General features: G+C 38.7%; 1 protein-coding gene across 3 annotated transcripts in view; it reads right to left on the bottom strand.

Moving 5' to 3' along the window:
• Positions 1 to 12,678, bottom strand: part of RBM25 (RNA binding motif protein 25) — a 65,366-nt gene that overhangs the window by 16,987 nt on the left and 35,701 nt on the right. For all 3 annotated transcript variants that reach the window (XM_011537044.4, NM_021239.3, XM_047431641.1), the window contains 6 exons: positions 9,813 to 9,998; positions 7,480 to 7,533; positions 7,163 to 7,246; positions 3,435 to 3,721; positions 832 to 1,054; positions 628 to 717 (listed from right to left, as the gene is read on the bottom strand). In XM_011537044.4, the coding sequence (XP_011535346.1) occupies positions 628 to 717; positions 832 to 1,054; positions 3,435 to 3,721; positions 7,163 to 7,246; positions 7,480 to 7,533; positions 9,813 to 9,998 (924 nt within the window). The remainder of the gene's footprint in view (positions 1 to 627; positions 718 to 831; positions 1,055 to 3,434; positions 3,722 to 7,162; positions 7,247 to 7,479; positions 7,534 to 9,812; positions 9,999 to 12,678) is intronic.

The following is a 12,678-nucleotide window of genomic DNA, read 5'->3' as shown; positions in this document are numbered from 1 at the left end:
TGCAGTGAGCCGAGATCACACCCCAGCCTGGGTGGCAGAGCAACACTCCGTCTCCACAAAAAAAAAAAAAAAGTATATACATATATATGTATACATGTATGTATATGTGTATATGTATATGGTTTTTAATTCCATTTTTAAGGTAGATGATACTATAAGAAATAGTTTTTAAGAAACGCAGAAATTTAAATCATGTTCATCAATCAATTTAAAGGTAATGCCCCCCAACTCTAAACCAATAGTAAACAATCCATGAGATAAAATGAATCTCTTAACTTACGGAATTTCAAATGCAACTATTATATCTAATAACAACAGTTCAACAATTTTAAAAATATGCAGATTCTTAAAAATAAGTTAATAAATTCTTGACTTAAATATTACTATATGACAAATTTACTTTGATGGTATACAAAAAGATAACTTTAGATGCAGCAAAAATTTGAAGAGGAAAAAAGATTTTGGTGTACTTAAATTGGCTCAAAATTACTCAAAATACATAAAAATTAAATTATACATGAATAGAGAAGCTTGTGCATTTCAATTATTAAGTTACTTGTAGTTAGCAGTAAAGATACAATCTGACTTTTTACCTGAAAAATCACTTATTTTAGCCTAGAATCTTACCATTTCTCTTCTTCTTTCTTCTTCTCTTTCAGCTTCTTTCTCATATTCCCGGGTTTTCTTTCGTTCTCTGATTTCCCAATTCTTAAGGCGCTAAAAAAATTAAATTTTCAAAGCTTTAAAAATTTATACATAGCATTCTATAAATATTGATTAACCTATTAAGGGATACCAAGATTTAAGAATAAAGGCATTTTCTCAACTTACCTCTTGATAAGCAGCTTCTTTCTCTCGGAGTTTTCTTTCAAGTTTTCTTCGTTCGTATGCATCTTCTTCATCTTCTTCTCGGTCCCGTTTTTTGTCTTTTTCTCTTTCTCGCTCCCGTTCCCTCTCTCGCTCTCTCTCTCGCTCCCGTTCTCGTTCTCGCTCTCGTTCTCTCTCTCTCTCTCTTTCCCGCTCTCGTTCCCTTTCACGATCTCTGCTTTTTTCTCTAATGTAAACAAAATATTTTACAAATCTGTCAGTCTACTTTCTGTTTTCAAGACCAAAGTAAAGGAGGACAACATACATTATGAAATAATATAAAATCTCACAGGCCAGAATCTAGCACTTGATTTCCATAAAACTATGTAACCTCCTCTACACTCATCAGAAAGACATAAATTGCAGTCCCAAATCCTAAAATGCATTCTAATACCTAATGCTTACTGGTATGTCAGAAAACAAATACAATCTGAATATAAAATAGTTATAAATCATTAAAATGAATGGTTAGTTAATGCCCATCATATACTGAAATAATAGTCAATCCCCTGATGGTGTAAAACAGAAAAAAGGAAAACTTAATTCCCAAAAGAAATATGAAGGACTAATGAATATGTTAAGAGATAGTTTAGCTTACTAGAGATCAAGGAGTAAGTGCTGGCACATGTGGAAAACAGAATTCTGACATGTTGCATGGATTAAGTTAGAACTTTTATAAGTATCAGCACTGAAAGTTCTCAAATATTTAATTAAGAGTGATAAAATCTAATCCCAACATTTTAAGAAGCCGAGGTAGGAGGCCTGCTTGAGGCCAGGAGGCATGGTGGCACGTGCCTGTAGTCCTGCCTACTCCAGAGGCTGATGTGGGAAGATCCCATGAGCCCAGGACTTGGAGCTTACAGTGACCTATGACTGTATCACTGCACTCCAGCCCGTCTCCAAAAAAAAAAAAAAAAAAGTAATAAAACCAAACTGCAGATTACATACAGCATGATACCAAGGATCTAATCAAATAACTCTGTGTGTGTGTGTGTGTGTGTGTGTGTATTTAATATGTATATATGAAATATGTTCTTTATGGATACACTTATGCCATAAATATAAGAGATGGATTTTACACATACCAACCTCTCAATGACTGTATCAGGAATGGACAGAATGAAATAATTTTAATGCCTACTGAAGGTTGAGAGCTCTGGGTTTCCAGTTCTAGCAACTAGGTGAAATGACCTAAAGTGGAACTCCCTCCAGCCATAATCAAGTAAGAAACTGCAACACAGTAATGTATATTTTTAAACTAGCCTGAAGAAAAAGGAGCTTTTTCTCTCTTCCTTGCTGCTTTCTCCTCTTCCTTTGTTCATGTTTGCTATACCTCATTATTCAACAGTGAGATGACTCATCAAAATAATTCAATATAAGGCCGGGCATGGTGGCTCACGCCTGTAATCCCAGCACTTTGGGAGGCTGAGGCAGGCAGATTACCTGAGCTCAGGAGTTCGAGACCAGCTGGGCAACATAGCAAAACCTAGACTCTACAAAAAAAATACAAAAATTAGTCCGGGACAGTGGTGTGTGCCTGTAGTCCCAGTTACTCGGGAGGCTGAAGCAGAATTGCTTAAGCCTGGGAGGCAAAGGTTGCAATGAGCCAACACTGTACCACTGCACTCCAACTTGGGCAACAGAGCAAAAACTTGTCTCAGAAAAAAAAAAAAATCAATATAATTAAAAAATTTTAAATAAAAAATAAAACCTTCCAAAGAGTAAAATTACTAGGAGCCAGAGGTAGAGGTAGATAGTAAATTTATAGACAGAAAGATTAAGCTATGGCAGTGCAGTGGGCTACAAAAACAAATAAAAATGCTAGGGGCTAAAAAGACGTGGTGCTAGAGCTGATGTCTCAGTATACAGAACTTCAACAAAAAGAGCAACTTTAAAAATGCCCACGGACCCAAGGAGACAGCAGGGAGTCATGTCTGCCCAGAACATTGAGTGGCCACTGTGTTTCTATAAAAAGTGGCTTCAGACAGAAATTAACCAGAGTTGAAAATTATTACTTTTACCCATAGTGAGAGAGAGAGAGAGAGAGAGAGTGTGTGTGTGTGTGTGTGTGTGTGTGTGTGTGTGTGTGTGTGTGTGAGAGAGAGAGAGAGAGAGAGAGAGAGAGAGAGAGAGAGAGAGACAGACAGACAGACAGACAGACAAAGACCATGTTGTCTCTAAAAAAATTCTCAGGCTGGGCACAGTGACTCACGCTTATAATCCCAGCACTTAGGGAGGCTGAGGCAGGCGGATCACTTGAGGCCAGGAGTTCAAAACCAGGCTGATTAACATGGCAAAACCCCATCTCTACCAAAAATACAAAAAATTAGCTGGGCATGGTGGTATGAACCTGTAATCCCAGCTACTTGGGAGGCTGAGGAATGAGAATCACTTGAACCCAGGAGGCGGAGATTGCTCAGCCACTGCAGTCCAGGCTGAGTGACAGAGTGAGAATGTCTCACACACACACAAAAGTTCTCATTCCATGAATGCAAATGGTACTCTGGAGGACTACCCGATAGTTTTCTTAAAGCTATCAGGAAACAGTAACTTCTGTAAAGCCTTACCTTGATCGACTGCGATCCTTATTACGATCTGAGCTCCTTTCTCTATCCCGGTCACGATCTCTCTCTCGATCCCGATCTCGGTCTCTCTCTTTTGTCCGGTCACGGTCCCTATCCCGTTCTCGTTCCCGCTCCCGTTCTTTCTCCTTTTCTCGTTCACGTTCTCTTTCCCTTTCTCGTTCCCGTTCTCGCCTTTCTCGTTCCCTTTCACGCTCCCTCTCTCTTTCTCTCCGTTCTTTCTCAATTTCCTGTCTTTCTTTTTCCTTTTTGCCTTTCTCTTCTTCCAGTTTCTAGAAACCAATAAAAGCACTTTTAGAGTTAACTCTGTAGCTCCAGTATTCAGATTTTTCCCGGCGCAAAGCCCAGTACTGGGAACAAAAACACCAAACCACTGATACATTAATATTAAATACTTGTGGTTTTATGTGACAAATTAAACTGAAGCAATCACAAGACTAGAAAGATTTCGTGCAAAACCATATACTCTACACAGACCAGGAATCTCCAATCTTGGATGCTGGGAGATTGTGTCAGGTGTGGCTGGCCACTCAATGACTATGTACTAACTAAAATGACCATGAAGAATGTGGTGGTTCGAAATATTTTCTATGAATACGATCATTGGTTAAAACTCAACTCTGTGCATTATAGATTTCTGTAAATCCACAAGATTATTAATACTAATTAAAACCCCAGACTGCACATTACCTCAAGTTGAGGGTTTCAAAGGGCAAGTGGTATAGAAGAATACCTATAATGCAACTAAATAATCTCTGCCCTCTGATTTGCCCACCCTCCAAAAGAAACACAAGCTGAATTCAGCCAAGAACTGCCTTATCATCTATGGAAACATTTACTCCCACCATTACAAGATGGACAGCCCACCAAATACAAAAAGTTTGAAAATCACTCACTTCAAGCAAAATATATGTAACTGTAATAGTTTAATTTAAAATATTTAAAAGCAACATACTTATGCCCATTATGCCTGTAAGACAATGAAAATATATTTACAATGATAAATCCATCCTTGGAAGGAACGATTGTGCATTAACTTACAGATGCTGTGCTAGGACATGGATCGCCAACACTGGATTAACCTTGCCTACAAGCTATGTTTCTGGGAGGAAGAGCAAGTACATGGTTCACAAATAAACCAAATAACAAAGTCAGACCAAGTTTGTACCCTGACAAGATTACCAGTGTACCACACGGTTTCTACACAAACTCAGAAAAAAATACCCCAAACAGGTAAAACAAAACAAAACAAAACACATTTATCCCTTTTGTTTCACGTTTAGTTTCACCAAAATGAAATTTTAAACTGCAACAATAAAATGTGCATTTTTCTTTTCTCAGTCATGTAATGCATTTAAAACAACTTTAAAAAGCAATCTTACCTGTCAGATACTCTTTTTCTCTTCCTCATGGATCAGAGAACTTATAGCAGGTTATGAAAGGAAAGCTAATGTATGAGCAATATATTCAGTTGCTGTGCCAGTCTATATCGAAGTAGAATACGGGCAAAGTCAAAACTGAATACATTGAAATTACAAAGGGATGAAATAAGATATGATAGAAAGAGGACAGAAACTAACAGCTATTAAAGGGGGAAAAATCTCATTTCTGAAACAGTTCCAATGAATATAAAAATTTATATTGTAAAATGAGGCTAGACTATATAAAACTTACCTCAATGGCATACACTTATAAAGAAATTTGTTTATTTCTGAAATAGATACTTACAGAATATTTTAGCTGTTCCAATACTAATTTTTCCTGTAGAATTCCTCAATTTTTAATTCTTGCTTATTTCACTGTGCTCCTTATATTCAGTTATATAAATAACCATTTGTTTCAGAACTCATTTCAAAAGTTTGGTTCTAAGTAAATGAAAAAGTGAGTGAATCTAGTCCATACTAAATGTTTCCTGAAGTTTATATATGAGATATATATATATATATATATACACACATGTATACAAATACAGGTATACATGTAAACATACATGTATATTTTTAAAGAAAGACTGGAGAAGGGAAATGAGGTGAGTCTAAAATTATGTAAGAAAGTCATGAAGAGGAAAGGACAGATTAAAAAATCATAAATCTTACCTTATTCTCTCTTCAGACTCATCCGTGCTGTAAATGGACGCCCCCTGCCACGCTGATACCCTGACAGTCTGTGGTTATTTAATAAACTCATACCAAAACATGCAAAGGTTCACTGAGCTCATTTTTTGTTACTGGAGTTTCAAACAACCCTTTTAGCCAAACCACCCAATAAAAAACAACTGTTTTGGTTTTTCATTTTGATTTCTTTTTATTTTGAAAAGACATTCTGAAAATTCAAAACATTCCCTCCAGTGAAATAATACTAAGGCAGTAAAATGCCTAACAGATTCCCAAACTTTAAAGCAAATATATTTTTGAATTTTTCTTAAAACATGATTTCCTCATAATTTACCAATAACATGACAGGGTTTAACAAATAAATAAAAACAAAAAGGGGGTAAACCACACACACAACCATATACCATTTTTAAGCTTACTCGGTCCTGAATTTCAGTATTATACCTAACCAAAATTATTCATCTAAAATGATTTCCCATAGACCACCTTTTCAACTCTCAAAATTAATTTTGGGAGAATTATGTTTGTGCTCTTAGACACATTTAATTCTTGAAAAAGCATTGTGTTTGTGAGCAAGGGCTGGGCATCTGGATAGTAAGTGTTCAGCAGCACTGATTCATTGGCATTATTTGTGAACTGCAGATTTTGAAAGCAATGGGAAAAAGTAAGAATAAAAGAGAAAATGAACATTTAACATTTCACTGAGTTAAAGATCTCTCAGTCTATCAGTAAGAACCAGCAACACCTTATTATCTCGACCATCAAAATACATTTCATGCAGTGTTTGCATTGCACCGTTCAAAAGCATCATTTTCAACACCAGCGAACATTCACAGATGCACTGTCATTGAGAGAAGCTTCAAATAGGCAAAACTCGTGAGTGGGATTTACTATGCATAAATACCCATTTCCAAGCCAGTTACCCCTTTGCATATTTTTCTGAGGGGGCATCCATAAATATAATAAAAAACAGAAGCTCATACTTACATCCTATTCCTTGTTACTTTCCAAGCTGAGAGTTTCATCTTGCATTAGTCACCATATGATCTCTATCATAATGGTGGGGGTCAATGAATAGATTAGCTTTATGGGAATTTACAGTTCTTCCATGCATCTAAAATTTGGTAAGTCTGGTAACCACTGACCTACTGTTTAAAATCTCCCCCACTCAACTTAAATCTATACAAATATAAAATGTAAATTTTAATCTCAGCTCTAAAGAAAAGGTATTCCTAAGATCAAGTTAAATAACTGCCCCCAGAAATACACTACAGTGTATGTTATCCTGCTGCCCCCTGAATCTAATTTAAGTCTGACCTTGATGTTTATGTTGAAATCTAAAAATAAAATTAGCTTCTATTCATATTAAAGTGAGATGACTGCAGAATAGTCAGTAACTGAAAAAACTAAGCACAACATGTCAAGGACCACTTTAATATGGTATTGGTCTTCTGTTTCTTTTTTCTATCTAAATATCAATTAAACCTATAAAAAACATTTAAAATTATATTCTAATTTAAGGTTGATTTTTTTTGTCTCTTTGCTTTGGATTCTGTAAAAAGTCTAGATTGGTATCAAGTGAAAAGACAAGAATACTACCTTATGTGTGTCTCTGAATTTGCTGATCTCTCGAGATATCAGGTCTCTTTTGTCTTCTTCCATTTCTATAGCATTTATATCCTCCTAAAAGAAAACGGGCACAGGAGGGAATGAATAAAGAACACCCTACTTCAATATAAACAGTTAAAGGTTAGATATTCTGTATAGGTCTCAAAGAGTAAATAAGTAAACAGAATATCCACAATAACAAATCTAACAATCTAAAGTTAAATAGTGAAAAATCAGATAGACAAGAATGACAAATCAACAATCAGCAGTAAACACAGGTATTGTCAAAGCCTACAATTTAAACTAACCTTAGTGATGAGTGGATAAGGGATCAGTGGGGCCACTGGAAATCTGCGGAAAATCTGTGAAAAAATCCACCAAGAATCTTTTTTAAAAAAGAAAAACAGAGCTCATACTAATCTGCAAAGCAATGCCCTATACATTTATGACGTGAACAATACAGTACACTTCTGTGATGCTTTCTTGATTTCAAATTACTTGGGAATAGAAGTGATTTCACTCTTTTTACAATAACTGATCACACACTACCCTCCTCTCTGGATACTCCAACACCCCCAAGAAATGGAAATATAGAAGGTGCTCTCATAGTAGCAGGGCTTTCTAATCATACCAACAATATTTACCCATAACTCCTGCCACAGAGGAAGAATTTATTATCTCCTCCCAATCCACATCAAACAAATATGTTATTTTTCTCCTTTCCCACTAATGAAGAAAGAGGAAGAATGAATTCTACAGGCCTCAATTACCCTGTACCTTACTGACCCTACCAATTACCATTCCTAACAGAATACACCTCCTTAGAAAAGTTATGGGTCGGGCACGGTGGCTCACGCGGATCACGAGGTCAGCAGATCGAGACCATCCTGGCTAACACAGTGAAACCCATCTCTATTAAAAATACAAAAAAGTAGCTGGGCGTGGCAGCAGGCACGTGTAGTCCCAGCTACTCAGGAGGCTGAGGCAGGAGAATCGCTTGAACCCGGGAGGCAGAGCTTGCAGTGAGCTGAGATCGCAGCTGCTGCACTCCAGCCTGGGCAAGTGAGTGAGACTCCGTCTTGGGTGGGGGTAGGGGCGGGAACAAAAAAGAAAAGTTCTATGACCAAACGAGGAAACACATACCAAATAATAAAAATGTATGTATCTGGCCACAAAGAAAACTGAATATGGCCTAAAAAGGCACTGAAATTTAAAATAATATAAAATGTAACCATCCATTCATAACTAATCATAATATATATACCACGTAGTACTTTTTTATTACATAATGCATGCATATAAAACACGTTGAGCCAGCTATGAGTGATTCACACTTGTAGTCCCAGCACTTTGGAAGGCTGAGGCAGGCAGATCATTTGAGCTCAGGAGTTCAACACCAGCTTGGGCAACATGGTGAAACCCTGTCTCTACAAAAAATACAAAAATTAGCTGGGTATGGTAGCACATGCCTATAGTCTCAGCTTCTCAGGAGGCTAACACATGAGGATCACTTTAGGATGGGTATTCAAGGCTGCAGTGAGCCGTAATTGCGCCACCATCCTCCAGTCTGTGTGACAGAGCAAGATACTGTCTCAAAAACATAAATAAAACACTTCCAATATTTGTGGGATTTTTTTTCTTACTTTATAGAAGGGTCTCGCTCTGTGGCCCAGGCTAGACTCAAGTTCATGGGCTCAAGTAATTCTCCCCTCAGCCTCCCAAGTTGCTGGGACTACATGTGTCAGCCACCACTTCTGGCTTCTTCCAGTATTTTTAAAAGAACACTTCCTATAATTTATCTAAGTTTATCCAAAGGAAATAAGTATGAGAAAACTAAACCTTTTCTTTCAACCTGGACAATTAGCTTAGGGCCACAAAGAGGTAGCAATCAATTCACTGAGGAGGAATGTTTCAAGTTGTACTGCTCTTTCAGAATCCTCCAGTTTGATTATTCAATACCATTATTGTTCAGGGAGGGGAATGTGACATAGTTTCTTAAGGAAAGGCAGCTAAAAATTAAGAGTGGGTGGAAATCTTCAGTGAATCAGATCTGGTTTCTTGCTTAGAACAGAGACAGAACAACCATAGGCAAACAAAGTAAAATAGGGGCCGGGCGCAGTGGCTCATGACTGTAATCCTGGCACTTTAGGAAGCGGAGGCAGGAGGATAACCTGAACCCAGGAGTTGGAGACCAGCCTAGAAAACATAGTGAGACCTTGTCTCTGTAAAAAAGTTTAAAATGTGGCCGGGCACGGTGGCTCACGCCTGTAATCCCAGCACTGTGGGAGGCCGAGGCGGGTCGACCACGAGGTCACGAGATTGAGACCATCCTGGCTAACACGGTGAAACCCCGTCTCTACTAAAAACCAAAAAATTAGCCGGGCATGGTGGCGGATGCCTGTAGTCCCAGCTACTCAGGAGGCTGAGGCAGTAGAATCGCTCGAACCCCGGAGGCGGAGGTTACAGTGAACTGAGATTGCACCACTGCATTCCAGCCTGGGAGACAAAGTGAGCCTCCATCTCAAAAAAAAAAAAAAAAAAAAAAGAAAAGAAAAAAGAAAACTGACATGTAATCAAAGTATAAGAGTGATATCATAAAAAACAAACGGTAGAAATGATATGTTGTTGTCAGAACACATACGTCCTCCTTCTTTTCCTTCTTCTTCTTCCTGGGGTGAGAATCAGATTCCTGTGAGGGGGCATTTAGCTCACTGGAGTATTCACGAATTAAAACTTCAATAGCCCCTTTAATCATCTGATCTCTCCTCTTTGTTTCTTCATCCAAGGCTTCTTCATCGTCATTAGTGACAGTTTCTGGCCTTGCATTCTTAAACAAAACAGCAAATTCAGGGGAAAGAAAAATCAAGCAAGAAAATCAAAATCACTCTACAACAAGAGTTAATAAACATACATGTTTTCTCAAAAACATCTCTGTAGTCCTATTAAACACAGAATTGGTTTTGTTCTTAACATCAGAAAAGCTTCATTTTTTTATTTAACTATTCCTGAGATACTACTTCATTTTCATTTTCTTTTTCTTAATAGCTAAAAAATTCTGGTCCCTAAATTTCAGGACTAGCACACTATACGACACATCTGCAAACCATTCACAAGTTTTCAGACTGTTTTGCTCAATAGGTACACAAATAGTAACGACTCTTTTAAACAGTTGAAAATTCAGTTACGTAGTAAAGGCAAAATACAATTTTAAGTTAATTGTGATAGCTACCACTCAGAAAAAGCAAAATTGTATGTAGATTAAACAAACAAACAAAAACATCAGATTGCTAAATATACCAAACTGCAAGAATCGGGAGTTTAGGGGCTGTAATGATGGCTTATTTCCTATTTGCTTTCTACGAGTGCTTATAATGCAGGAATACATACCACTTATAGAAACCATACACTTACAACCCTAACAAGGAATCAAAGTAAGTATTTGTAGGTCTTTATCAATAATTTTCTGGCCAGGCGCAGTGGCTCACTCCTGTAATCCCAGCACTATGGGAGGCCGAGGCGGGGGCGGATCATGAGGTCAGGAGTTCAAGACCAGCCTGGCCAACATGGTGAAACCCCACTCTACTAAAAATACAAAAATTAGCCGAGTGCGGTGGTGCATGCCTATAATTCCAGCTCCTCGGGAGGCTGAGGCAGGAGAATCGCTTAAAACCGGAAGGCAGTGGTTGCAGTGAGCAGAGATTACGCCACTGCACTCCAGCCTGGGCAAAAGAGCGAAACTCCATCTCAATAATAATAATTATTATTTTCTAAGAAGTCTAGATTATTCCCTCTATGTGGGGAAAATTGTTGGCTTCTAATGTGCTACAATAGTTGTGCTACAATAGTTGTGCATGCCCCAAAGTTTTTAACGACTTACTTGGTAAACATATACCGTGCACATTTTCAGATACATACAAGAACCATGCTCATGTGCATACATGCCTGGCTCTTGGTCATAATTCCTGCAACTCTATTCAAGGTGAGTTTCATGCCTTGTGCCTCCTTAACAATGTAACTTAGCAGTAACTTTATAAGTTGACCACAAGCATTCTGAAAGCTGTCTCCAATGGATACGTATTCAACAAACATTTTATTTCTTAAATTAATTTGCTCAACAAATTCTTTTTTTTTTTTTGAGGCGGAGTCTTGCTCTGTTGCCCAGGCTGGAATGCAGTGGCGTGATCTCAGCTCACTGCAAGCTCTGGCCTCCCAGTTTCACACCATTCTCCTGCCTTAGCCTCCTGAGTAGCTGGGACCACAGGCTCCCGCCACCACACCCGACTAATTTTTTTGTATTTTTAGTAGAGATGGGGGTTTCACCGTGTTAGCCAGGATGGTCTCGATCTCCTGACCTCATGATCCGCCCGCCTCAGCCTCCCAAAGTGCTGGGATTACAGGCGTGACGACCACACCCATCAACAAATTCTTAAGAGCATACTGTGAGAAAGATGCTGCACTTAGACGGAATAAAATCCAAATTGAAAAACGCTCTCTTCTCCTCAAGCTGTATCACTACAGAGTAACAGATGGGTTATGACACAGATAACTTAAATATAAGGCATTACATGTTATTACAAAACTAACCACTTGGCAGGGCTCGGTGGCTCACGCCTGCAACCCAGCGCTTTGGGAGGCCAAGGTGGGCAGATGACGAGGTCAGGAGTTCGAGACCTGCCTGGCCAGCATGGTGAAACCCCATCTACCAAAAATACAAAAAATTAGCTGGGCATGGTGACATGTGCCTGTAATCTCAGCTATTCAGGAGGCTGAGGCAAGAGAATTGCTTGAACCCAGGAGGTGGAGACTGCAGTGAGCAGAGATCATGCTGCTCCATTCCAGCCTGGGAGACAGAGCGAGACTCTGTCTCCACCCCCATCAAAAACACACACACACACACAGACACACACACACACACACACACACACACACACCTCGCTCCTGTAATCCCAGCATTTTGGGAGGCTGAGGCGGGCGGATCACAAGGTCAGGAGTTCGAGACCAGCCTGACCAACATGGTGAAACCCCGTCTCTACTAAAAAAATACAAAAATTCCCCAGCCGCGTGCAGCGGCTCACTAAGTCAGGAGATGGAGACCATCCTGGCTAACATGGTGAAACCCCGTCTCTACTAAAAACACAAAAAATTAGCCGGGCATGGTCCCAGCTACTTGGGAGGCCGAGGCAGGAGAATGGCTTGAACCCGGGAGGCAGAGATTGCAGTGAGCCAATATCACGCCACTGCACTCCAGCCTGGGCGACAGAGCAAGACTCCGTCTCAAAAGACAAAAAAAATCCTTATAGACCCTAAATTGATTATTGTTTCCACTGTAAACCAAAATTTAAATATCAATATGGCTATTTTACTATTAGAGATAAAGCATTTGGAATTAACTAATTCACATTTTTAGAAGAAAAGTTTATTAACCCAAAAATCTTAACTGATTGCTAATATTTAAAAAAAAAACAATAACAACAACAACAAAAAACCTAGGCCGGATGCAGTGGCTC

The sequence above is a fragment of the Homo sapiens genome, chromosome 14, assembly GCF_000001405.40.
Source record: "Homo sapiens chromosome 14, GRCh38.p14 Primary Assembly".
Taxonomy (NCBI): Eukaryota; Metazoa; Chordata; class Mammalia; order Primates; family Hominidae; genus Homo; species Homo sapiens.
The sequence above is the reverse complement of the archived record's forward strand: the minus strand, read 5'-3'. Positions and strand labels throughout refer to the sequence as shown.